Here is a 25,472-nt window from a genome sequence, read left to right on the forward strand (position 1 = left end):
CTCTAGAGCCCAGGTCCTGGTTCCAGCTCTTCCCCAGCCTGGCTGTGGTGCCTTGTTCAGGGTAAATACTTCCCTAGGATCCTCCTCTGGAAGAGCAGGACAAGACCTGCCTGCTGCAAGACGTGACATGACAGAACTCTGCATGTGGTGTTGAAATGCACACATTTCTACTGGCATGAGGGTCAAATTCAGCCTGGTGCCCCAATCCCTGAGATGTTTCCATTCCTTCCCCTCCTCTCCTTTCCTGTGATTCAGGTCATGTGCCACCCTCCCTGATTCTTCTGACACTTTTTTTCCCCTCTATATAGAAATTTTATTAACAGACATAGAAATAATAAAGAAAATTCCATTATGGCCAGGTGCGGTGGCTCACGCCTGTAATCCCAGCAGTTTGGGAGGCTAGGCGGGCAGATCACTTGAGGCCAGGACTTCGAGACCAGCCTGGCTGACATGGTGAAACTCCACCTCTACTAAAAAACACAAAAATTAGCCGGGCATGGTGGCGGGCACCTGTAATCCCAGCTACTCAGGAGGCTGAGGTGGGAGGGTCGCTTGAACCCGGGAGGTGGAGGTTGCAGTGAGCTGACATTTCGCCACTGCACTCCAGCCTGGGTGACAGAGGGAGACTCCGTCTCAAAAAAAAAAAAAAAAAAAAAAAAAAAAAGAAGGTTACCTTTTTTTTTTTCTTTTTAGTAGAGACCTAGGTTTCACGTTGGCCAGGCTGGTCTCGAACTCCTGGCCTCAAGTGATCTGCCTGCCTTGGCCTCCCAAAGTGTGGTATAGAATCATATCCTAAAATATTAAAGTACAAATTATGCCCTATTATTTTAATTTTAATTTCTTTTTTTGAGACAGGGTCTCACTCTGCTGCCCAGGCAATGGGCATGATCGTAGGTCACTGCTGCCTTGAACTCCTGGTCTCAAGTGATTTATTTATTTATTTATTTATTTATTTATTTATTTATTTAGAGATGGAGTCTTGCTCTGTTGCCCAGGCTGGAGTGCAATGGTGCAGTCTCGGCTCACTGCCACCTCCACCTCCCAGGTTCAAGCAATTCTTCTGCCTCAGCCTCCTGAGTAGCTGGGATTATAGGCTCCCACCACCACACCGGCTAAGGGTTTCACCATGTTGGCCAGGCTGGTCTCAAACTCCTGACCTCAGGTGATCTGCCCACCTCAGCCTCCCAAAGTGTTAGGATTACAGGCGTGAGCCACCACACCTGGCTGTTATTTTTATTTTATATTTTTATTTTTATTATTTTTATTTTTTTTGAGACAGAGTCTCACTCTGTCGCCCAGGCTGGACTGCAATGGTGCGATCTCGGCTCACTGCAACCTCCACCTCCCAGTTTCAAGCAATTCTCCTACCTCAGCCTCCCAAGTAGCTGGGATTACAGGCATGCGCCACCACGCCCGGCTAATTTTTTTTTTTTTTGTATCTTTAGTAGAGACGGGGTTTCACTATGTTGGCCAGCCTGGTCTCGAATTCCTGACCTCATGATCCATCCGCCTTGGCCTATTTTTACTTTTGAAACAGGGTCTTGCTGGCCTCAAACTCCTGGGATCAAGTGATCCTCCCACCTCAGCCTCCCGAGTAGCTTGGCCTACAGGTACACACCACTGTGACTGGCCCTATTATTTCTTTATGGACACATAAAGACATGCACATGCACACCCTAGGAGTCTTGGGGCAGATGAAGAGATGTATTTTCCTTTTCTTTCCAGAAATTTCACAGAGCTGGCACGCTCCTGAGAGGCTGCTTGTAAACATCTGAGGGCAGATCCATCCAGGAGCCTCTGGAAGTGTCACTTGCCCCTTTCCCCAAAAAAGCTTCCATACCATCCCCCTACCCCAGTCCACCGCCCAGAGATGGTGGAGGGGTAGTGTGGGGGCGGCAGTGGAATCAGTTCAGGCTGGAGGAAATTTTGGCCCAGCATTTGCTAAAGGGCTGCAGCTAGAAGCAGGTGGGTGGAGAGAGTGGGAAGATAGTAGCCTTCTTAAAGGGCCAGTTGCAAAATGATCCAGCAGACTAGGGAGCTGCTGTTGGGGGAGAAGCATGGTTTCTGAGAGCCACTGAACAGCAACACAGCTCTCTTACTGAGGCAGGGGCCAGCCAGGGGTCCTGGCAGCTGGTCTCCTGATTCCTGGGGAGCCTCATACTTCAGGCACACCCTACCCCCTCACAGTGGCGGTCATTCAAAGAATGTGGTCGGTCATTCTCATTTGCCAGATGAGAAAACAGGCTCAGAGAGGGGAGGGGACTTACCTGAAGTTACAGTTAATGCGAAGCAGAATCAGGGCAGAAACCTAGGACTCCAGACTCCAGGCCAGTATCCTTTCCAGGAAGCCACCCCTGCTCCTTAAAGCCAAGCTCAGCCTCTTACAACAGAGGAAGTGTCTCCTCTGCATTTCATTTGTGCCTCACATTTCCTGGGCAGGAGCTCAGGCCTGGTCAGAACCTAATATGAATCTCAATTGGGTTTTTTTTTTTTGTCCCTAAAAAAAACCCAAAACCCAAAAAACAACAAAAAACCAAGGCCTGGCATGGTGGTTCATGCCTGTAATCCCAGCACTTTGGGAGGCCAAGGTGGGAGGATCACCTAAGCCCAGGAATTCAAGACCAGCCTGGGCAATATAGCAAGACCCTGCCTCTACTTAAAAAAAAAAAAATTAGCTGGGTGTGGTGGCGTGCACCTGTAGTCCCAGCTACTCGGTAGGCCGAGGTGGGAAGTCACTTAATCCAGTAGTTTGAGACTATAGTGAGCTATATCGCACCACTGCATTCCAACCTGGGCGACAGAGCAAGATTCTGTCTCAAAGAAAATAAAACAAAACAAAACAAACAAAAAAACAGCCTTTTCTCTTTCTCTCCTTCAATCTGACAAAGACCTTTCATAAAAGTCACACACGGGCAGAATGTCTGTCCCTAACCCAGGTGTGTGCTTGGGGCTCCTCTCCCTCCCTTTCTCCACTGAGGGCTTCAGTTTTCTGCTGGCTTCCAGGCATGGAGAGCAGGTCCGCAAGTCTCCTCTGCTTCCCCCTGACTGAGGCTGAGTTCTGGGCACCCCAGCAAGAAGGATCAGAGAGCAGGATAAAACAAGGAAGTGGTGGAAGCCCTGGGAGGGAGGCAGAGCGGGTCTGAGTCTCTGCATTTTACAGGTCTAGGGAATGAATGAACCACCACCACCCAGACAGCTGCTCCTGAGCTGGGTTCTTGCAGTGCCCCAAGCCATGCTTTGAGTTGCCCCTGACCAGGGCAGCAGGAGCCTGGAGAGGCCTCAAGCAGGCATGGGGAGGCCTCAGGTGTGGTACTGCCAAGAGCAGGTGGCAACTCTGGGAGAGCCCTCACAGAAGATGCTGGATGTTGGGCCTTGGCAGATAAGGGTTAACTGGAGAGCCTCCCCAAGATAAGGGGCTCACAGTTCGCCACCACTCCTGTTCCCTAAGAAGATAAGGGTTCTGGCTGGGCGCGGTGGCTCACGCCTGTAATCCCAGCACTTTGGGAGGCCGAGGCAGGTGGATCATGAGGTCAGGAGATCGAGACCATCCTGGCTAACAAGGTGAAACCCCGTCTCTACTAAAAATACAAAAAATTAGCCGGGTGCGGTGGCGGGCGCCTGTAGTCCCAGCTACTCGGGAGGCTGAGGCAGGAGAATGGCGTGAACCCGGGAAGCGGAGCTTGCAGTGAGCTGAGATTGCGCCACTGCAGTCCGCAGTCCGGCCTGGGCGACAGAGCGAGACTCCGTCTCAAAAAAAAAAAAAAAAAAAAGAAAAAAAAAAAAAGAAGATAAGGGTTCTTCTCACAATAGTGGTGTCCTTCCTATGGAAGATTCTCATTTTCATGGCCCAACTCCCCCACCATGAGAGGACAGTGCCTTGCATCTTCCAAGTGTTTCTATCTTATCAGATGATTTGGTCAGAGATGTACAGTATCTTGTCCAAGGTCAAGCAGAGAAATGAAGAGCTGGGATGCAAACCCAGAAGATATTCCTCTAAAAGCTGTCCCATGCTGCCATGGCAGCACACAAAAAAGGGTGGGATTCAGTTCTGCCAGGACGTGTCCGGCACCTGTGATGGGTGTGGCATTGTTCAAATCTCTTGAGGGAGCCTATGGGCCCAGGAGAAGGGACTGATTTTCATAACGGCAGAGTCAGGGAATGTGCTCGGCACTCCCAGAGAGCGATGGTTAAGGGACCGGTGACAGTCCAGAGGGCAGCCTGTCTGGCCCAGGTTCCACAACTGTCAGCAAATCTAGATGCCAAATCCACAGAGGACATACAACTGGGAGGGACAGTTCATAGGTCAGATGGCAAAATTGATCTGAATCTGGATCTCAAAACTCTTTGAAGGATGGACTGAAGTTGACTGTAACAAGAGGAAATTTGATAGGGAAGGATCTAAGGTCTCTCCTCTCCATGTATGCAATGGAGGCTTAGCAGTGGCACAGGTGAAAAGGATTTGGGGGGTTTCAGTGCCTATAAGCTCCACCTGAGTTAAGGGTGTTGCCTGTTGCCAAGAAAGTTCTTAGGCTGGGCACAATGTCTCATGCCTGTAATCCCAGCACTTTGGGAGGCCCAGGCGGGTGGATCACCTGAAGTCAGAAGTTTGAGACCAGCCTGGCCAACATGGTGAAACCCCATCTCTACTAAAAATACAAAAATTAGCCAGGTGTGGTGGCGTGTGCCTGTAATCCCAGCTACTCAGGAGGCTGAGGCAGGAGAATTGCTTGAACCCGGGAGGCAGAGGTTGCAGTGAGCTGAGATTGCACCATTACACTCCAGCCTGGATGACAAGAGCGAAATTGTCTCAAAAAAAAAAAGAAAAGAAAAGAAAAAGAGAGTTCTTAGACAACACTTGGGGCTCTGCGTGGCTCTTAGAGCACACTCTGAGGGGGCTCTGGAAAATTGGAAAACACTCAAAGGGAAGTTATTTGCATGGACTTCAGACCAAGCTGTGGGGCTTCGTAAAGTCTCTAAGGATGGGCAGCACGATGGTAGGGGAGATGCAGAGTGAAAGCACAGAATTTTCCAGTCTTGGAAGTGTTGTCATGAGGCTAAGGAGGCAATCCTACTCTCTGAGTGTCTCTGAAATGAATCTCAACTCAGTATCAATCAGCTGAGTGCAAATTGCAGCTATGATTACCTGGGAGCAAGTGGCCTTGGGGGTCAGTGAGGTCTTTGTGTTCAAGCTTGAGCAGGACAACTTTTGGGGCATCATGCATAAAGAGGTGACCCAGGTGAAACTGAATTCTGAAACTTGTCAGGAGCCCTGGGAGGCAGGCCCTTTGTGTGGCTTTAGGGAATGTGTGGGCCCTTTGAGGACATGACAAGGTTGGGTGGAGGCTCATCAACCCCTCTATCCCACTGGGATGTTCTGCCAGCTCTGCCACAGATTACAGGGGCAGCTATATTCATCTTTGTTTTTTGTTTTTCTTGGGATGGGATCTCGCTGTGTCACCCAGGCTGGAGTATAGTAGCGAGATCTCAGCTCACTGCAACCTTCACCTCCTAGGCTCCAGCAATCCTCCCACCTCAGCCTCCCAAGTAGCTGGGACTAGAGGTGCATGCCACCACCTGTAGCTAATTAGTTTTTTTGTTTTGTTTTGTTTTGTTTTTTTGGAGAGACGAGGTCTCACTGTATTGCCCAGGCTGGTATGTTCATCTTTGAACTGTGGTGTCAAGGTCTCAGGATTGGATGTGAGACTGTGGAGGAGATAAACTTTGTGCAAGGGGGAAGGCCAAATGATAAGAGGATCCGGGGTTCATTTTCACTGAGAGGACGGAAGACCTTTAAGTTGATTATAACCACTGGAGTAAAGCTCTCTTGACCCTGAAGTTACAATAGCTGCCCCCAGCTGCCCTGAACTTTGACCTGCTCTCCTCGCAAACCTGGGGCCTGTGGTGCCCCAGAAGTTCTCAGTAAAGGCTCTCATGTTAGCTTCTGCTTGTAGGATGGTCTGAGGGTTAGCTGGAGAGATGACTGAGAGGAACTGGCCCTATCATGGGAATATGGGAATCTCCCCATCCTTGGACACCCAGTCCTGCTAACCTAACCCTGACCAGAACTGTTTCCCTGTTACAGCCAGAAGCTTCGACCTGCAGAAGTCGGAGGCCATGCTCCGGAAGGTGAGACACATTTGGCTGTTGCTTCAGTTCCTCCCCATCAGAATCACTCCTTGCGTGGACTTCTTTTGCCGCACCTCCCATCCCAATCACAGCTTTTGGCTTTGAGTATTAGCCGACCACTGTTGCCTTATCCCTCTGGGACAAATTGCATTCCCTTCCCTGGCAACACAGGCTTTCATAGCTCTGGGCCAGCCAAGAATGATAATCTGTTCTGCTAAGACCTCTAAAACAGGCAGGGCCTTCTTTTCCATTCCTGCCTAATGCCTTCTGGTGACCACTTATGATCTGGTGGTCCATTCACGCTGTCGCTTATTGCTACATGCCTATTAAACCTCCCCCACCATCCCTGCTTTTTGTTTTCTTTTTTATTTTTTTCTTTTTGGAGACAGAGTCTCGCTCTGTCACCCAGGCTGGAGTGCAGCAGTGGCGCGATCTCAGCTCACTGCAACCTCCGCCTCCCGGGTTCAAGTGATTTCATGCCTCAGCCACCTGAGTAGCTGGGATTACAGGTATGCACCACCACAGCTGGCTAATTTTTCTATTTTTAGTAGGGACGGGATTTTGCCATGTTGGCCAGGCTGGTCTTGAACTCCTGGCCTCAAGTGATCCACCCGCCTTGGCCTCCCAAAGTGCTGGGATTACAGGTGTGAACCACCATGCCTGGCTGTCCATCCCTCCTTTTAAAAATTTCCCCATTGTATCTTTGTAGCATGTGGAGTTCCGAAAGCAAAAGGACATTGACAACATCATTAGCTGGCAGCCTCCAGAGGTGAGCACAAATTATCCCACCTCATCCCTATGCTAGGCCTTTCAGACCCACAACCTGGGTCCTGGATCCACTGGATTTGGATCCTTAGAGGAAAGGTCTGACAATGCCCACTGAGCCCTGATGGTCTCCAGAATGGGCATCTGTTGGTACCCAGGAGAGGGAGGTAGAGAAAGATACTGATGAACCTGGAGTAAGGCCCTGTGGTCCAGGCAAGGTATGGATGCCTGCTGACCAGGTGGCTCCTCTGTGTCTTTGCCCAGGTGATCCAACAGTATCTGTCAGGGGGTATGTGTGGCTATGACCTGGATGGCTGCCCAGTCTGGTACGACATAATTGGACCTCTGGATGCCAAGGGTCTGCTGTTCTCAGCCTCCAAACAGGACCTGCTGAGGACCAAGATGCGGGAGTGTGAGCTGCTTCTGCAAGAGTGTGCCCACCAGACCACAAAGGTGAGTGGACCACCATGGCTAGAAATGAGTTGACCACAGCAGAGGCATTCCAGCAGAAGCAGGGATGTCACACAGGAATATAAGCACAGCTTCAGGGCCAAGGCCCAGCCTTTTTTTTTTTTTTTTTAATTTTTAAAACTTTTTTAGTAGAGACGGGGTTTCATCATGTTGGCCAGGCTGGTCTTGAACTCCTGACCTCAAGTGATCCACCCACCTCGGACTCCCAAAGTGCTGGGATTACAGGTGTGAGCCACTGGACCTGGCCGAGGCCCAGGCTTTGGGATTTCCTAGACCAGTGACATTTCCAAGTTTTAGAATATTCCCAAATATCTATTTTGCCATGTAAGGACTTTAAAACAATGACCATCTATTGTTGCCATCATTAACACCCAAAACTATAAGAATGGCAATAATCTCAGATGAAAAAGCAGTCCTTTAGGAAGCTGCAGTGAGCCAAGATCGTGCCACTGCACTCCAGCCTGGGCGACAGAGACTCCATCTCAAAAAAAAAAAAAAAGGAGTCCTTTAAATTGAATAAATTTAGCTTCATAAAAAACTCACTACATTATTGTTATTTTTCTGATTTATATGGGGACCCAGTGAAATCTTACTGTGGACCAACCCATCCTTGAGCAAGTATTTGGGTACCACTGGTGCAAATGATGTCAGATTCTTGCTTCTCTAATTCTGTATTTAAAAAAGATAAGGATGGCTGGGTGTGGTGGCTCATGCCTGTAATCCCAGCACTTTGGGAGGCTGAGGTGGGCAGATTGAGCCCAAGAGTTCAAGACCAGCCTGGGCAACATGGCAAGAGCCTGTCTCTACAAAAAAAAGTAAAAAATTAGCTGTGCATAGTGGCATATACCAGCTACTAGGGAGGCTGAGGTGAGAGGATCACTTGAACTTGGGAAGTCGAGGCTGCAGTGAGCCGTGATCGCACCACTGCACTCCAGCTTGGGCAACAGGGCTAGACCCTGCGCCAAAAAAAATAAGGATAGCTGATTCCCTTACTGAGAAAAAGACTGAAGAACAAGCAGGAGCTGCCACTTCCCTCCTGCCCTCCTCTCAGCAGTTGTAAAGATCCAGTGAAATGATGTCATAAAGTCTAGGAACATTCCCACACTCATCTACAAATGTTCACAGAGAGCCTACTGTGCGCAGAGACCCTGCGGAGCTGGGGATGCAGGAAGCATTAGACGTGGATGCACCCCTGAGGGTTCAGGGTGCACAGAACGTCTGTCCTCGGGCATAAGTGGCTCTACGGGTACCGTGCACAGAGCACACAGTGACTCAGGAAGGGGGAGGCCATCAGGCCAAACTGCAGAACCAAAGCCATCTCAGATGTCATCTAGATCCACCCAGTCATGTACTGGAAAAGAACACAGAGACCTAGGCAGGAAGAGTGACTCGCCTAGACCACAATTCTGGCCTGGGGTGATTATCTCAGTTTGGAAAACTCTAGGTCCGGCCCTAACTAGCTCTGATTGCTCTCTGGATGCACAGTGCAATCATTTGGCCTGGACTGGAACGGGCTTCTGAAGTAGGACAGCCTGACAAGACTTCCTGCTCTCTGTTCCCTGCAGTTGGGGAGGAAGGTGGAGACCATCACCATAATTTATGACTGCGAGGGGCTTGGCCTCAAGCATCTCTGGAAGCCTGCTGTGGAGGCCTATGGAGAGGTGAGGGGCAGGGGTGGGGAGGAAGGGGACAGAGGGAAGGGGAGGAGGAGTAGACCCCTCTCCTAGGCTGTCCTGTGGGATGGGTGAGGCAATGGGGGCAGATTCTGAGCCTGCTGGAATCAAGAGTGATTTTGTTTCCACAGTTTCTCTGCATGTTTGAGGAAAATTATCCCGAAACACTGAAGCGTCTTTTTGTTGTTAAAGGTAAGTTGGGAATTTCTTGTGATAAAGCCAGATGGAAAAGAGGGGTCAAAAACATGACTGCGGCAGATGGAGGGTCAAACAGTGAGCCAAAAGAGGGGGTCTGAGGACATGTTCAGAAGACTGCTGCCCCTGCTAGTGTGCTGGCTCACGCCTGTAACCCCAGCACTTTGGGAGGCCGAGGCAGGAGGCTCTCTTGAGCCCAGGAGTTTGAGACCAGCCTGGGTAACACAGCAAGACCTCATCTCTATAAAAAAGTTAAGGAAATGAGCTGGGTATGGTGGTGCATGCCTGTAGTTCCAGTTTCTCAAAAGGCTGAGGCAAGAGCATTGCTTGAGTCTAGGAGTTTAAGGCTGCAGTGAGCCATGATTGTGCCACTGCACTCCAGCCTGGGCGACGGAGCAAGTCTCCATCTCAAAAAAATAAAAATAGGGCTAGGTGCAGTGGCTCACTCCTGTAATCCCAGCACTTTGGGAGGCTGAGGTGGGCAGATCACTTGAGGCCAGGAGTTCAAGACCAGCCTGGCCAATATAGCAAAACCCCATCTCTACTAAAAATATGGAAATTAGCTGGGCGTGGTGGCCCACACCTGTAGTCCCAGCTACTCAGGTGGCTGAAGCACAAAAATCACTTGAACCCGGGAGGTGGAGGATGCAGTGAGCTGAGAGCTCACTGAGGCTGAGGCAAGAGCACTGCTTGAGCCCAGGAGTAAAAGGCTGCAGTGAGCTATGATTGTGCCACTGCACTCCAGCCTGGGTGACAGAGCAAGACTCTGTCTCAAAAAAATAAAATAAAAAGAACACTGCCCTTCACATACGCAGACTACTTTACAACTCACAGAGCTTTCAGTATTTATAATCTCCTTTGAGCCACCCAGCCTGATGAGATGGGAAGAGACCATTTGATTATATCCACTGTAAAGATGGGAAGGCTGGACCTCAAAGATGCCCATGCTGAGCTGCACACCCTGGGCTGCCTATGTGGGCTCCAGAGCCCTGGGGAACATGTGGCCCAGCATGGGCTGGCAGGAGGGTAGCAGGTGCTGCAGAGGACGCTGTTAGGGACAGACTGGGCACTGCTCCCAGCCTCACATTATCTGGTCTCTGTTCCAGCCCCCAAACTGTTTCCTGTGGCCTATAACCTCATCAAACCCTTCCTGAGTGAGGACACTCGTAAGAAGATCATGGTCCTGGGAGGTAAGTGGTCCAGACTGTTCTCAACTCCAAAGGAGGGTCTGTAGCCTAAATCGGGTCCAGCTTTAGGGGTGTGGCCGTAGCCACCAGGGTGAAAGCTCCCTCTGCTAGTTTGGGAGCAGTGGGACCCAGGAGCAAGCTGGGGTGGAGCTAGTGCCTTCTTCTGTTTTCCTAAGAACTCTTTCTCTCAGACACTCTAGAAGCAAGCACTGGGTCCATTATTGTAGATTCAAAGATGAATGAGACTCCAGTCCTTGCCCTCAAGGAACTTACAGTATAACAGGAGACAGAAGACCTAGAAAGAGAGGCTGGGTGCAGTGGCTCATGCCTGTAATCCCAACACTGGGAGGCTCAGGTGAAAGGATCACTTGAGGCCAGGAGCTCAAGACCAGCCTGGGCAACAAAGCGAGACCCTGTCTTTACTAAAAAATAAAAAATAGCTGGGCATAATGGCGTGCACTTGTAGTCTTAGCTATTTGGAGGCTTAGGCAGGAAGATCCCTTGAGCCCAGGAGTTCAAGGCTGCAGTTAGCTATGATCATGCCACTGCACTGCAGCCTGGGCAACAGAGCAAGACCTTGTTTTTTAAAAAAAGACCTAGAGAGAGAAAGCTATGATATAAACTAGAAAAGACAGTAGACTAGTCATAGAGAGGGTGCCATAGAAGTTGCAGGAGCAAGGTTGCTTTCAGTTGGGGAAAACTAGGAGCAGCTTCATTTGACAAGCACATAGTATGTGCCAGGCCTGAGCTACTGCCAAGACTACAAAGATGAATAAGACAGAGTCCTGGCTGGGCACGGTGGCTCATGCCTGTAATCCCAGCACTTTGGGAGGCCGAGGTAGGCGGATCGCTTGAGCTTAGGAGTTCGAGACCAGCCTGGCCAACATGGTGAAACCCCATCTCTGCTAAAAATAGAAAAATTAGCCAGGCGTCGTGGTGTGCACCTGTAATCCCAGCTACTTGGGAGGCTGAGGCAGGAGAATCGCTTGAACCCAGGAGGTGGAAGGTTGCAGTGAGCCGAGATTGCACCACTGCACTCCAGCCTGGGCAACAGAGACTCCGTCTCAAAAAAAAAAAAAAAAAAAGGGGTCCCTTGAAGGTCTTTTGGCCTCTCTGGGAAAGCAGACACAAACAAATCTATCAGTATGCTGTGGTAAATGTACAGAAGGGGAAACCACAAAGTGCATGGGAGCACTCAGCGGGAGCACCCACTCCACCTGAGCTAGGAAGGGGGTGATGCCTACCTAAGCTGCGTGCTATGGAATGAGTAAGAGTCTGCCAGATGGAGCAAGGCAGGAAGCTGCTTGGCAGAAAGAAGAGCATTGAACAAAGACCTTACATAGCATGGCAGAGGCAGCTGTTATAGAATGTGAGGCAGGGTGTGGCAAGGTATGAGGCTGGAGAGGGAACCAGGAGTCAGGCCCCAGAGAATCCCGGGCACTAGGTTGAAAAGCTGGGATATGACTCTACAGGCCACTGGGAATCAGAGTTTTCAGCAGGGGAGTACCACAAATTTTAAACCAAGACACAGTACTAGCAAGATTGCGAAGGCTACCAGTTTGCACGAGCCTCTGTCTCTACAAAAAAAAGTAAAAAATTAGCTGTGCATAGTGGCACATACCAGCTACTAGGGAAGCTATAGATTTGTTTGTATCTGCCTTCCCAGAGAGGCCAAAAGACCTTCAAGGGACCCCCTTTTTTTTTTTGAGACAGAGTCTCTGTTGCCTAGGCTGGAGTGCAGTGGTACAATCTCGGCACAATGTTGTCACAGTCCACGCAAGAGGTGTTGCAAGCCTGAATCGGGGAATTGGCAACAGGGATAGAGAGGAGAGGATGGATTTAAGAATTATTTAGGGCCAGGCGCAGTGGCTCAGGCCCATAATCCCAAACACTTTGTGAGTGTTTGGGAGGCCCAAGTGGGTGGATCGCTTGAGCCCAGGAATTCCAGATCAGCCTGGACAACATGGTAAAACTCCATCTCTACAAAAAATACAAAAATTAGCCAGGTTTGGTGGTGTGTGCCTGTAGTCCCAGCTACATGGGAGGGTGAGGTGGGAGGATCGCTTAGCCCAGGAGTTCGAGGCTGTGGTGAGTCATGATGGGTGCCACTGCACTCCAGCCTGGGCAACAGAGCAAAACCCTGTCTCAAAAAAAAAAAACAAACAAAAAAACAAAAAAAAAACAAAAAAAACTTATATAGAAAGTAAAACAGCAGAACTCAATTGACTAGATGTAGGAAGTAAGGGAGAAAGCTAGAATGAGCTCCTGGTGTCTGGCAGAGGTGACTGAGAGATGGTGACGCATTAGTTCAACTGGGGAAAACAAAAAAGCTTGAAGTTGAGCTTGAGGAGTCTGTGAGATATAAAAATGTTGGGAATACCTGAGTTTGAAGCTTAGGAGAAAACTCTGGTCTGGAGATTTGGGAGTTATCAAATAACAGCAGCAGCTAAAACCTTGTCAGTACGTAAGACTGCCTACGGAGGAACAGAGGCAGAACCCTGGGGAACATCCGAGCTCAAGAGCAGGCAGAGAAAGCGAACCCAGCAGGGAGACTGAGAAGTGATTAATGAGGTTGGCAGAGAAGCAAGTCAACAGGGAATGGATATGCAGGGAAGTAGGGGCAACATCAGGGTACAAGGAAAAGTGTGACCCAAAACCCAGCAAAGAGGACACACAGGCATCAAGCCAGCCAGGGACAGGCAGGAGTTCAGTTTTGCTGAAGTGGAGTGGAGGGAGAAAAGGCTAGAAAGGTAGATTGGGCATCCAGGTGTGGTGGCTCACACCTGTAATCCCAGCTACTCGGGAGGCTGAGGCAGGAGGACCACTTGAGCACAAGAGTTTGAGACCAGCCTGGGAAACATAGTGAGACACCGTTTCAAAAACAAAACAAAAAGGTATATTGGGACAGGCTCATGAAAGGGTGAATGCCACCTATGGCACTGAACTTTGGGGGTAGGTAAGAGGGATTCTGAAGGCTTCACAATGTTCATCTTTTGGTGACACACGAGAATTGGAGATTTTCCAAATGTATGCTAGTGAGACCCGGGGAGTGAAGTGAACTCATCAGGGAAGTGTAGGACTTCTGGGTTCCAGACTTAGCTCTGGCAGCAACAAGCTCAAGCTCTGTTTTTTTTTTTTCTTTTTTAAATTTAGGTCCCCACAAAAGCATTCTTTTTTCTTTTTTGAGGGAGCCTTGCTGTTGCTCAGGCTGGAGTACAGTGGCGTGATCACGGCTTACTGGAGCCTCAATCTCCTGGGCTCAAATGATCATCCCACCTCAGTCTCCTGAGCAGCTGGGACTACAGCCAGCACACCCACCTAAATTTTTATTTTTGGTAGAGACGGGAGCTCACTATGTTGCCCAGGTTGATCTTGAACTCCTGGGATCAAGCAATCCTCCTGCCTCAGCCTCCCAAATCACTGGGATTACAGGCATGAGCCACTGCACCCAGCCAGCTCTCTGCTTTTTGTTGCCTCAGTTATTCTCTCTGTAAGATGGGAAGAATCCTCCTGGCCTTATCCCAACTCTCCAGCTGGACTGGGGGAAGAACTATAAAAGCTGAGCAAGAGGTTTTTATGATTTTTGTTTTTTCTGCTGCTACCACCCACCATGGGCATGAGACGGTTTGGTTTCCTGGCAGCAGAGCTGTGTAGGAGGTTCAGTCTGTTCCCCTACCACACCTAAAACTCTTTCAACCAAACCTGCCTCAGGCTGGGAAGATACAGAATTTTCAACAGAGGGGGGAGATTCACTCGGGCTGGTCACTGGAGCTTAGCAGTGCAGATTAAATCACCCCAAGACCACAGACACTGTGTTCCCAGGAGTTGCATGGTCTTTGGTCCCTAAAAATCTGAGGGCTGGCAGACTCTGGACAGTTTCTGCGGGTCTCCAGCCAGCATGACACTGGCTTGTACCCCAGGGCCTGGAGCTGCTGCCTATATATGCTCTATATAGTAGGCATAGGCAGGTTTTAGTATCAAAATATTGTACCTGGCTGATATTTGTGAATTTGGATTGGTGAAGTGGTTCTTAGCATTGGCTGTGCTAGAGTCAAACTCTCCTAGACAGGAAGGAGCTTGGGTATTTTAAAAAAAAAAAAAAAGAGCCAAATTACTGGTGGCTCAACAGCTGAAAACAATGGGAGCAGAAGTGAAATGGTGGCTGGGGTAAAGCCAAGAATCCATTTAAGGGGTGACTCTACAGAGATGCATTTACTTATTAAGTCACGACTTAGCTGTAGGGGAAGGTGGGGGAAAGACACATAGTTCTGCCCTCACAGTGTTCAGTATAATCAGGACAGGGTATGTGCATTCAGGCCTTCCTGCCCGCCACACGTGCTGTTTCCTCTGCATGGAATGTCCTTCTACCCTTTCTTTGTCCCCTCTCCTGCTGTACTTCAATGTATCACCTCCATGGGGTAATAACATACTCTTAACGTGTATAAGGCACTTTATGGTTTAAAAAGCCCTCTCGGCCGGGCGCAGTGGCTCATGCCTGTAATCCCAGCACTTTGGGAGGCCGAGGTGGGTGGATCATCTGAGGTCAGGAGTTCGAGACCAGCCTGGCCAACATGGTGAAACCCTATCTCTACTAAAAATACAAAAAATTAGCTGGGTGTGGTGTCGGGCGCCTGTTGTCCTAGCTTCTCAGGAGGCTGAGGCGGAAGAATCACTTGAACCCGGGAGGCGGAGGTTGCAGTGATCCAAGATTGCGCCACTGTACTCTAGCCTAGGCAACAGGGTGAGACTCTGTCTCAAACAGAAAAGCCTTCTCAAGTACTTAGTTCATTTCACTCCCACCATAACCAGGCAGGGCAAGAATGTCACTTAGCTGTTCAGACACGAGGGCAGGAACCAGGGTCTCGATTTCTGGCCTGGGGCAGAGCCATCCTCTGGCTCCTGCTGAACCCCCTGCAGTACTATGCATGCACTGTGTGCTCCTAATGCAGGAATTTGAGGCGGGGTGTTGTGGGGTGCAATGGATGGGTTTTTTCTGCCTCTTTAGTGTAGACCACTAGGGTTATGGCGAAATCTTACCTAGTGTTGAGATACATCTTTATCCTTCCTTCCCTCTCCTGCCAGCAAATTGGAAGGAGGTTTTACTGAAACATATCAGCCCTGACCAGGTGCCTGTGGAGTATGGGGGCACCATGACTGACCCTGATGGAAACCCCAAGTGCAAATCCAAGGTATGAGCCGCCAGAGGCTAGAGGTGAACAGGGATGCCTGGCTCAAATGCACATTCCAGTTCACTCCATGCCATGCTTCTAGATCAACTACGGGGGTGACATCCCCAGGAAGTATTATGTGCGAGACCAGGTGAAACAGCAGTATGAACACAGCGTGCAGATTTCCCGTGGCTCCTCCCACCAAGTGGAGTATGAGATCCTCTTCCCTGGCTGTGTCCTCAGGTAGGGGCCTGGGCCCTTCCAGGAGACCCGAGCTTTCATCTATAGGTCCTGATAGGTGGGCTGGAATAGGAGAAGCCCTGGTGCCAGGACCCCGGAGAGGGCACACACAGACAGAATTATGTCTCAATTGGTGATATCCCCTGCAGGTGGCAGTTTATGTCAGATGGAGCGGATGTTGGTTTTGGGATTTTCCTGAAGACCAAGATGGGAGAGAGGCAGCGGGCAGGGGAGATGACAGAGGTGCTGCCCAACCAGAGGTACAACTCCCACCTGGTCCCTGAAGATGGGACCCTCACCTGCAGTGATCCTGGCATCTGTAAGTATCTCTGCCTTGGCAATGCCTTGAAGCCCCATGTCCAGCTTTCTGCCTGTGAGGTTCCTCTTCCTCCATGGATTTTTGGCTCTGAGTGTTAGAACTAGAAGTGGAATGCCATCAGTTCAATCCTCTCCTTGTATAGATGAAGAAATCTAGCCTTGGAGACTTGTTTATGGTGACCCAACTGGTTAACAGCAGGGTGGGACTTTGATCTCATACTCCTAGGTATGGGTGAGTCACAGTCCTAGGCGATCACAGGGGTTCAACACGTCTGCTTTCTGGTCCAGGTCTAACTGGGTCTGTGACTGGACAGATATTTCTTGGGGATGCTCCTTCCCAGAGGTCACAGAGACAGAACTGGCTGGGTGGGCATGGGATCACAAGGTAAGCAGATGCTCAAAAGTGCAGCCTTCACCCCTGAGTTTCACTCATCTCCCAGCTGACCAAAGAATGGACACAGACTATGAGCAGGCAGTTTACACAAGAATATAAGAATGGGAAACAGACATTTGAAAAGGTGCTTAATCTCTCTTAACTTTGTAATACCATTAAAATTCCCCTTGACTCAGCAATTCTACTTGTGAAAATTTATCCTACAGAAATACACAAATACTCAAAGATACAGGAACAAGGATATTCCCGGTAGCCTGGGAAACTGGCAGTAAACCATATGACCATGATAAGGTCTGTTAAGTAAATTACAGTCCATCCATACAATGTTAAAGAGAATAAACTGACATGTAAACTGTCTGGGACATGTTAAACAAATAAGCATGAAACACAGCATGTATGGTATGTACTTACTTTGGTTAAGGAAGTGTGTACACAGAAAAGAACTCTGGGGAAATTTATGCTAACTCTAACAGTGGTTATCTCTGGGATGATAGGATGTTTATGGAGGGCTTTCATTTTTACAGTATTTCTGCAAATATATTTTATGATGACTACGTATTAATATTACATTTATAAGCAGAAAAACCATACCTACACTCCCTTCAACACCCACAATCAAATCTCCAGTTTCTTTTTGTCAGAGCCAATGGAAAATCAATCAGAGCAAAGGCTTTATCATCAGAGCTGAGCTGGACTTGACTAAAGGCTAGCTCCATGGCCTTTGGCAAGTGACAAAACCTAAGCTTCGGTTTCCGGACTGCTACACTGGGGTATCTCACAGGGATACCTGATGATTTGATGTGATAGGTTCTGTGAGGCACTTAGCATAATGCCTGGCATAGAGCAAGCACTCAATGCACTGCAGTCACCACTATTATTGTTAGGACAAGGCCTGTGGGAGAAGGGCCATCCTGCAGACAATGCCGGGAGATGGGAGAAGCCCTGTGCCCCATTTCTACGGTAGTACCAGCACTACCAGGAGATCTGAACTAGCCTCACAGATGTCTTGGCCTCTCTGCTTGTCTACATGGTCACCCAACCTGAGATTTTGCCTCCTTCCTCACATCCCAGGCACCCTTCATCTCCACTGCCCCCTCCTCACAGATGCTCTGTGGTACCATATAGCTCCTGGGGGAGGCGGAATATTCTTATTAGTGAGCAGCCGGGTCCTGGGGGAGAAGGTGTATACTGTGTGCTTCAGCAAGAACAAGGCTTAGCACCAGCCCAGACAATGTCACCCACAGAGGAGAAAGCACTTAATACATATAAGCTTGAATTTTTTTGTCTGTTTCTTTGTTTTTAGTAGAGACGAGGTATCGCTGTGTTGCCCAGGCTGGTCTCGAACTCCTGGGTTCAAGCGACCCTCCTGCCTTGGCCTCCCAAAGTGCTGAGATTACCAGCATGAGCCACCATGCCCAGCCTTGAATTATTTTTTTAATGGATGGGGAAGCTGGGGCATAGAGAAGGGATGTTCTCCCATAAAGTAGCTTATGTAGACATCAAGACAGAAGACATCAGAGAATCCTAGAGTCCTGATCCAGAACCTCTTGGCCATTGACTGTCCTGGATGTGTCAGAGAGTGTGGAATCCCAGACCAGGGAAGTAATTGACCCAAGGTCACAGAGCCTGTAGGAGAGCCCCAAACCATTTTCCAGCATCTGCCCATTACCCCTCTATCTTCTCTTTAGTATCTGAAGGACATTGCCCAAGAAGGGAACATGAACCTTTTAACATAATCAGGCTTGGGCTTGCAAACCCCCAAATTTATTTTAGTTCCTTCTGGATACATTCCCAACCAGAACCTTTACCTGCCTGCAGGGTCTTGTCTGGGATCTGCTCCTTGCCCATTCCCAAGAGGAGCAGAGGCAGGCCACAGGATCCATTCCCCCTTCCCAGGTACAAAGACAATGAAGTTGGAATCAGCTGTTACCTGGTGCCACAGCTAAGGTTAGATGTGAGCCCAGAGAGAACCCAGTATTAGCTTGCAAGCTCATCTGCGGGAGGGCAATGCCCTTGGAGAACCAGGAGACCCCTGGAAAGCAGAACAGTCATCCAGTGGAGAAATTAAAACTGTGCCAGCCTCCAATGGCAAGAGCACATTAACCTTCCCCAGGCTTCTCTGGTCCTTATCCCAGTGCACTAAATTACCAAGGAGGAAAACCAAAGTTTGAATTGATTTCGCTTTTGTTTTCTCACCTAATATTTACCAAGGGCCTACTGAGTACAGAATACTCAACTAGGAATGAAAAGATTCCCAAAGAAAGATCTGGACTTTGTCCACTAGAAGTGCACAATGTGGTCAGAAGACTGGAAACACTATAGAAAGGGTGAGCAGTGCTGTGGTGAAAAGAGCCCAGCCAGGCACCAGGAGGCCTGGTTTCTGAGTCCAGCTTTGCCAATGACTCTCCCAGTGTTTTCAGCAAGTGTCTCTATTAGGTTTGGTTTTCCTTCTCCTTAAAATGACAGAAGTGATGGCCGGGCGTGGTGGCTCATGCCTGTAATGCCAGCATTTTGGGAGGTCAAGGTGGGTGGATCACTCGAGGCCAACAGTTCGAGACCAGCCTGGCCAACATGGCAAAACCCCGTCTCTACTAAAAAATACAAAAATAAGCTGAGTGTGGTGGCGCATGCTGGTAATCCCAGCTACTTGGCATGAGAATTGCTTGAACCCAGGAGGCGGAGGTTGCAGTAAGCCAAGATTGCACCACTGCACTCCAACCTGGGTGACAGAGAGAGACTCTGTCTCAAAACAACAACAACAACAAAAAGAGAGGAGTAGACCAGAGCAGATCTTAATGTGGGGTCCCCCGGAGCAGTGGTTCTAAATCGTAAAGACCAAACACTTCCTCTTTACAGCAAATAGTGTCTAAAATGTCCCCTTTACTATTCTGAAGTGAAATTCAAAATACAGAAATTCTGAATATTATATCCCAATAATATAACCCATCCTACCTACACATGTAATTTAAAAATCAATATAATCTCCTATGGTAATAGAAAAGAGATATAAAAGGGAACTAATTTAGAATATATATTTTTTCAATACATGAATGAGAGGGTAAGGTTGTACCTTTCCCATTGGGAACCATGGCCCCAGAGGTTCTACAGTGGGCTCCAGGAAATCTAAAATTATGTGCCTTTTTTTCTTTTCTTTTCTTTTCTTTTTTTTTTTTTGAGACAGAGTTTTGCTCTTGTTGCCCAGGATGGAATGTAATGGCTCGATCTCGACTCACTGCAACCTTCGCCTCCCAGGTTCAAGTGATTCTCCTGCCTCAGCCTCCCAAGTAGCTGGGATTACAGGCATGGGCCACCACGCCTGGCTAATTTTGTATTTTTAGTAGAGATGGGGTTTCTCCGTGTTCGTTAGGCTGGTCTTGAACTCCCGGCCTCAGGTGATCCACCCGCCTCAGCCTCCCAAAGTGCTGGGATTACAGGCGTGAGCCACCACGCCCAGCCAAATTGTGTGCTTTCATCAGATTCTCAAGGGGGTCAGTTACCCAACTAAAGTTAAGGAGCCTTATCCTGGAGGGTGTCTGGGGGCTCTGTGAGTCTATGATTAGTGTCAAAATGAACCATGCAGACTCTGGAGCTGCAATGACTCCACTTCCCTCTGGCCTGTGGTTCTCTGATCAACCCCTTTCTTGTTTCTGAGGCCAAGTATCTTGCTAGGCAGGGCCATTATCGACCTAGTACTTGGTGCAATGAATGCAAAGGACCTCTCCTCCAGCATGGCTGATTCTGGTTGCTAAGACTCTATCATCCAGGGCAGAGATGAAGCTTCACTCTTGCCAGAGGGACTATTGGCTCTGAAAGACCTCTAGTACAGGGGAAAAATAGATGACTAACACCTTCACCATGAGGAAAGAGTGGGTGGTGTGTCTACCCTTTGTCTAAACTATGCATTTTGTCCAGGGTCAGGAAAAGGTTAAGTCTTAGGATTAAATACAGGATATTTTTTTTCTTGCTGAGAACAGTGAGAGAAGACCGGGATAGGGATGGGGCAGAACTAGTGTTTTTGTTTTCACATTCAGTTCTCCTGAAGCGGTGTTTGGCTGAAATGGAACAACTTCTCAAAGAAACAGGGTTAGATTAAAAGCAGCCTGTTCCTCTGCCAAAGTGTGGAAGCTTTCTCTGCCAAGTGCATGCCCATTTTCTCTTTCCAGAGGAAACCACTGCTAATGTCTATTATCCTATCAAATATCTTCCATCTAGAAGCATTACATGTTTCCATAATAAACAGGGCATACAGTGCTCGCTTTGTCAGCACATACACTAAAATTGAAACAATACAGAGATTAGCATGGCCCCTGCGCGAGGATGACAATCAGGTTATCTTAAATAAATAAATAGAAAACAGGACATACACAAACACACACACACACACACACACACACACATATTCACAGGAATTGTCTGTCATTCACTGTATGTTTGAAGGAATTTTGAAACTGTCAAACTCATCGCAGGATTTCAGGAAACTTTCCCATTAGGACAAGCACCAGAGTGGTATCATCAGAGAATCTGGGAGTCTAAGCAGACAAAGAAGTAAAGCCAAAAGTATTTTTACCTATGTAGTTACAAAAAAGTTACAAACTGTTTACATACTGTTCTGCAACTTGTTTTGGCCTCAGGACACATTGTGGACAGTTTCCTGTCACTTCTGTGGAGCTAACCTCTTTTTTAAAAAATATATCAGTATTCTATCACATGGATTACAACATAAAATTGTTGAAGCAATTCTCCTTTGATGAACATTTGAGTTTTCCCAATCTCTTATTATTACAAATAGGGATGCAACGAGCATCTCTGTCCATTTACCTTTTTGCAGGATAAATTCCTGGTTCACAAAGTTTGCACATTTTACCTTTTGTCAGAAATTGAAGAGGGCCAGGTTTTCCAGGGTCCAAGTCAGGCAGAACAAATGCAGCAATGTGGAACAGACGGAAACTCCAGCTCTGTCATTTCCTCACTGTGTGTCACCAGAGTCACACCACCTCCTTTTTATCAGCTATAAAACAGGACTACTGCTGAACTCGTAGAGTTGGGGGAAAGAGTGAGATAACATATAGATTACCAACCCAGTGCTGCGACACACAGCTATTATTGTTATTACAACTGCTACTGCTGCTGCTAATTCTCCTCCCTCCTTTCAAAGTCCAGTTCAAGCTCTAACTCCTTTAAAAAGCGTTTCACATGATTTCAGTCTACCAGGCCCTCTTCTTCCAAGCTGGTACAGACGAGATGGTCTCTGTCACTCATCTGGCACTTGGCATGTTCTGCCTATTTTTTTCTCTCCATGAATGTCTTGTCAACCCCGCTAGATTAAGTTTCAGAAGGTCAAGGATCATTACCTAGGCTACCTTCATCCCCATGACCTGCCACACTGCCTTGCTCAGTCACTAAACATCAACAAAAATCACTGTCCCCAAGCCCTTTGCCAGAACTGCCTGAATGTCTGTCTGGTTTCTGCCTTCCCTCAGATGTCCTGCGGTTTGACAACACCTACAGCTTCATTCATGCCAAGAAGGTCAATTTCACTGTGGAGGTCCTGCTTCCAGACAAAGCCTCAGAAGAGAAGATGAAACAGCTGGGGGCAGGCACCCCGAAATAACACCTTCTCCTATAGCAGGCCTGGCCCCCTCAGTGTCTCCCTGTCAATTTCTACCCCTTGTAGCAGTCATTTTCGCACAACCCTGAAGCCCAAAGAAACTGGGCTGGAGGACAGACCTCAGGAGCTTTCATTTCAGTTAGGCAGAGGAAGAGCGACTGCAGTGGGTCTCCGTGTCTATCAAATACCTAAGGAGTCCCCAGGAGCTGGCTGGCCATCGTGATAGGATCTGTCTGTCCTGTAAACTGTGCCAACTTCACCTGTCCAGGGACAGCGAAGCTGGGGGTGGCGGGGGGCATGTACCACAGGGTGGCAGCAGGGAAAAAAATTAGAAAAGGGTGAAAGATTGGGACTTAACACTTCAGGGAAGTCAGCTGCCGGGGAGAAACTTGCTCCTAAATGAACACATAAGTTTAGATCGCAATGAGGAGTAGCAGGGTAGCTGGTTGCTAGAGTTACGGTGGGGATCAGAAACTCTTCCAAACATTTTAGCACTGAGGCTGGGGTAGCTTTTGGCTTTTCCCAGGTCTCAGGAGGTGGCCTGAGTCAGCACACATCTTCCCACTCGGTAGACAGGCTGGCCTCTCCCTCACTTTGAGACTTTGGCAACTCCTGGGCCACACGGCCTGCCTCTTTGATTACTAATGATTGTCAGTGACTCAGAGCTTCCTGGGACTTCGGGTACCCACCCGCTGTTCTCCATGCAAACAAAGCGCCAGGGAAATGACCCACAGGGATCGCAGCTGCAGGGAGGGCCAGGGAGGTTGGGGGTGGGAGTGAATGCTAAAAGCAGATCGTCCAGTGCCCTTTTCAGTGCTACCGGCCTCTCACCAAGCAGTCCTCCATGTGAGCAACCCCGAGACAAAAATGCTAAGTGGGATCAAGAGAGCAGCACTCGGAGAGGGTGTTTGCCAGTCTGAGTGTCCCGCGGTGCCCGCCAACCCGCTTCCTGACTGACCTGAGCAAGGTCTTACTAAGCAGTCCCATCTCTGTGGGAGGCATGCAACGCGTGCAGGGAGTTCAGGTGCCGGTCGGCGTAGCCAGGCCTGGAGGCCCCCCAGGCAGGAGGCCGCCCAAAGGCGGGGCCGGCGTCTCGCAGACTAGGGGCTGGGGGCGGCCACAGACGGCCTCGAAACCACAGCCCTTACCCCAATCCCACGAGCCCCGCCAACGAACCACAGGTGCTGGGCTTTAGAGAACATGGGAAGGCGGCCCCAGACCTGGCGGGAACGCCTTTCCCTCAGAGCCAGGCCCCGGCCCCGTCTGGGAAGCTCATCTTGCGAAGCTGAGGGAGCTCAGGGCAAAGGCCAGGCTAGCGCGGACCGGAAGGGGCCGAGGCTGCACGGGCCTCTGCCAGAACGCTCAGGACATCCCGGCCTGGGTTTACAACGCTGTTAGGAAAATTAACCAATGAATAAAGCAACGTTCAGTGCGCAGGGAGTGAAATTCAATGCCCACCGCTAGGCTCCTCGCTGCCTCTCACTCAAGAGGCCCAAACTCAGACGGCGTCAGGGACCCGGACCCAGCAGCCGTTTCACGCCAATAGATAGGGCGCATGCGCAGAAATCCTCCTCGGCTCTCTAGCGTGAGCTTTCCCAAGGGGCCACGCCCAGCTTGCCTTCTGATTGGTCCAGCTGGTGGGTTGTCTTCCGCCATCTTTGATCAGGGCACTAAGGATGCTCCCCACGGCCTTCACAGTGACGGCGGAGACCCTGCCCCGCCAGCTGCTCAGTACGTGCCGCGTAGCCCGTGCGAGCCAAGTGTGAGTCCGGGCGAGCGCCTGCGGAGCTAGCACTGGGCCCAGAATGAGAGGGAGGCGGAGGAGCAGCGATCACGTGGTTTTAGGGACTGTCTAATAATTCCACGCCAGCATTGCCGGTGTTTCAGGGGGTGGGAACCGCTGCGTTCCCCATCAACTTTTCTCCCACCCACCACCCTCCCCAACCTACAAGCCCAGCTCAGCTTGAGGTAACTGCTGACCGGACTGTCCTATACAGCCCTACAAGACAGAGGCGCCTAGGGCTGAAAGCGGGGGCCTCCGTAGGGAGCCAGCGGGGGCCTCAATAGTTACTCATTTTCTCTACCTTTGATGAAAATAAGAGCTAATTCTTAATAAGGCCTACCGGGTATCACGCAAAAACCCTGTGCTTACTATTACACTTTGGGTTGTTGCAAAGATTAAAGGAAATAAGCCGTGCAAAGCGCTTAAGAGCTTGGTATAAGTAAGTGCTCGTCAATGTTGGCTACTCTCATTTTTTTTGCAGACGTGGGAACTGGGGCTCAGGGAGGCTAACAGCCAGTAGGCGGCACAGCTAGGATTTGAACCCAGGATTGTCTCCAACGCCGCTCAATTATACCCGCCAAGGAGTCACAGAGACTTAGTGAAGTGCACACATTGCTCACCTGGGTGAACTGAGGTCCAGCGGGGGAAGGCTTCCTCCTGTTGTAATCACTAACCCCAACTCTGTCTCCCTTGCCCGATTCATTCATTCGTTAATTAATTCATCCAACATCCTGTCCCCAAGAAGCTCAGTCTGGGGACATACTGATCCAGTTAAATGCGAGTGCTTCCTAGTTATACATGGCGACTGCTGAGAAGGGACTCCAGAGTCCAGGCACCTACCTCCCAGGGGCTCACCGTTCACTCCTCTAGCCTCATTTAGAGCTCGCATTAAGAGCACGGGATCTGGATCCACACTGTTTGGATTCAAATCACAACTTCACCACTTAGCAGCTGTGTGTTCTGGGAAAATGACCCACCTTCTCTGTGCCTCCATTTTCTCACCTGTAAAACGGGCTCCCAGGCTGGTGGGAGGGTTTCAGGTGTAAGACATGGAGAGTCCTTTAGCGAACATGTAGACTGGCAATAAACTCAATAAATGGTGACTGTTATAATTAATCCTCGGAACCATCCTAGGGAGTGGACACTATTGTGTTCCCCATTTTATTTATTACATTAATTTTTTTTTTTTTTTTTTAGTAGAGACGAGGTCTCGCTATGTTGTCCAGGCTGTTCTCGAACCCTTGGGCTCAAGAGATCTTCCCGCCTCCGGCCTCCCAAAGTGCTGGGATCACAGGCGTGAGCCAACGGGCCCAGCCTGTGTCCCTCCCTCGTTTTTACAAATGAATAAAGAGATGCTGGATAAGCCCGAGGTCACAAGCTTTGCAGTGTAGCATCCCCCAACTTGATCCCCTGTCTCTTTGGCTCCAAAACCTACACTCAGTCCTGGGAGCGATTAGCGCCAACAGCTCAGAGAAAACGTGACGAAAACCAGTCTGTAAAACCCGAGCCTGGGAGAGGGGCTTCGGTGCGCGGGGGGAATTTGC

General features: G+C 49.3%; 1 protein-coding gene and 1 pseudogene across 4 annotated transcripts in view, besides 5 other annotated features; both read left to right on the top strand.

Annotated features, from left to right (window-relative positions):
* The window catches only part of SEC14L2 (SEC14 like lipid binding 2), a 28,286-nt gene extending 3,242 nt beyond the window's left edge, over window positions 1-25,044 (top strand). For 2 of the 4 annotated variants that reach the window (NM_012429.5, NM_001291932.2), the window contains 10 exons: window positions 6,083-6,126; window positions 6,836-6,895; window positions 7,156-7,344; window positions 8,928-9,023; window positions 9,167-9,227; window positions 10,337-10,420; window positions 15,500-15,606; window positions 15,689-15,828; window positions 15,975-16,144; window positions 22,018-25,044. In NM_012429.5, coding sequence (NP_036561.1) covers window positions 6,083-6,126; window positions 6,836-6,895; window positions 7,156-7,344; window positions 8,928-9,023; window positions 9,167-9,227; window positions 10,337-10,420; window positions 15,500-15,606; window positions 15,689-15,828; window positions 15,975-16,144; window positions 22,018-22,148 — 1,082 coding nt within the window. In that variant the 3' untranslated portion in view covers window positions 22,149-25,044. Of the gene's footprint in view, window positions 1-6,082; window positions 6,127-6,835; window positions 6,896-7,155; window positions 7,345-8,927; window positions 9,024-9,166; window positions 9,228-10,336; window positions 10,421-15,499; window positions 15,607-15,688; window positions 15,829-15,974; window positions 16,717-22,017 lie in introns of those variants that run through there. The other 2 variants (NM_033382.3, NM_001204204.3) reach the window with 2 other exon arrangements.
* Window positions 1,532-2,032: an enhancer, noted in NCBI's record as "H3K4me1 hESC enhancer chr22:30797780-30798280 (GRCh37/hg19 assembly coordinates)". NCBI's record gives its function as "activates a minimal SCP1, AML or CMV promoter by ChIP-STARR-seq in primed H9 embryonic stem cells {active_cell/tissue: H9 hESC(primed)}" and the evidence as "EXISTENCE:reporter gene assay evidence [ECO:0000049][PMID:30033119]".
* Window positions 2,033-2,533: an enhancer, noted in NCBI's record as "H3K4me1 hESC enhancer chr22:30798281-30798781 (GRCh37/hg19 assembly coordinates)". NCBI's record gives its function as "activates a minimal SCP1, AML or CMV promoter by ChIP-STARR-seq in primed H9 embryonic stem cells {active_cell/tissue: H9 hESC(primed)}" and the evidence as "EXISTENCE:reporter gene assay evidence [ECO:0000049][PMID:30033119]".
* Window positions 20,301-20,595: a silencer, noted in NCBI's record as "tiled region #13809; HepG2 Repressive non-DNase unmatched - State 6:EnhF, and K562 Repressive non-DNase unmatched - State 2:TssF". NCBI's record gives its function as "represses a minimal TATA promoter and a strong SV40 promoter by Sharpr-MPRA in HepG2 and K562 cells {active_cell/tissue: HepG2 | K562}" and the evidence as "EXISTENCE:reporter gene assay evidence [ECO:0000049][PMID:27701403]".
* RNU6-564P (RNA, U6 small nuclear 564, pseudogene) lies at window positions 20,786-20,889 on the top strand (annotated as a pseudogene).
* Window positions 21,594-22,173: an enhancer, noted in NCBI's record as "H3K27ac-H3K4me1 hESC enhancer chr22:30817842-30818421 (GRCh37/hg19 assembly coordinates)". NCBI's record gives its function as "activates a minimal SCP1, AML or CMV promoter by ChIP-STARR-seq in primed H9 embryonic stem cells {active_cell/tissue: H9 hESC(primed)}" and the evidence as "EXISTENCE:reporter gene assay evidence [ECO:0000049][PMID:30033119]".
* Window positions 24,042-24,151: a silencer, noted in NCBI's record as "silent region_13613". NCBI's record gives its function as "represses an Ori minimal core promoter by ATAC-STARR-seq in GM12878 lymphoblastoid cells {active_cell/tissue: GM12878}" and the evidence as "EXISTENCE:reporter gene assay evidence [ECO:0000049][PMID:35858748]".
* Window positions 25,045-25,472: the final 428 nt, after the last annotated feature.

The sequence above is a fragment of the Homo sapiens genome, chromosome 22 (assembly GCF_000001405.40).
Source record: "Homo sapiens chromosome 22, GRCh38.p14 Primary Assembly".
In the NCBI taxonomy this organism is placed as follows: Eukaryota; Metazoa; Chordata; class Mammalia; order Primates; family Hominidae; genus Homo; species Homo sapiens.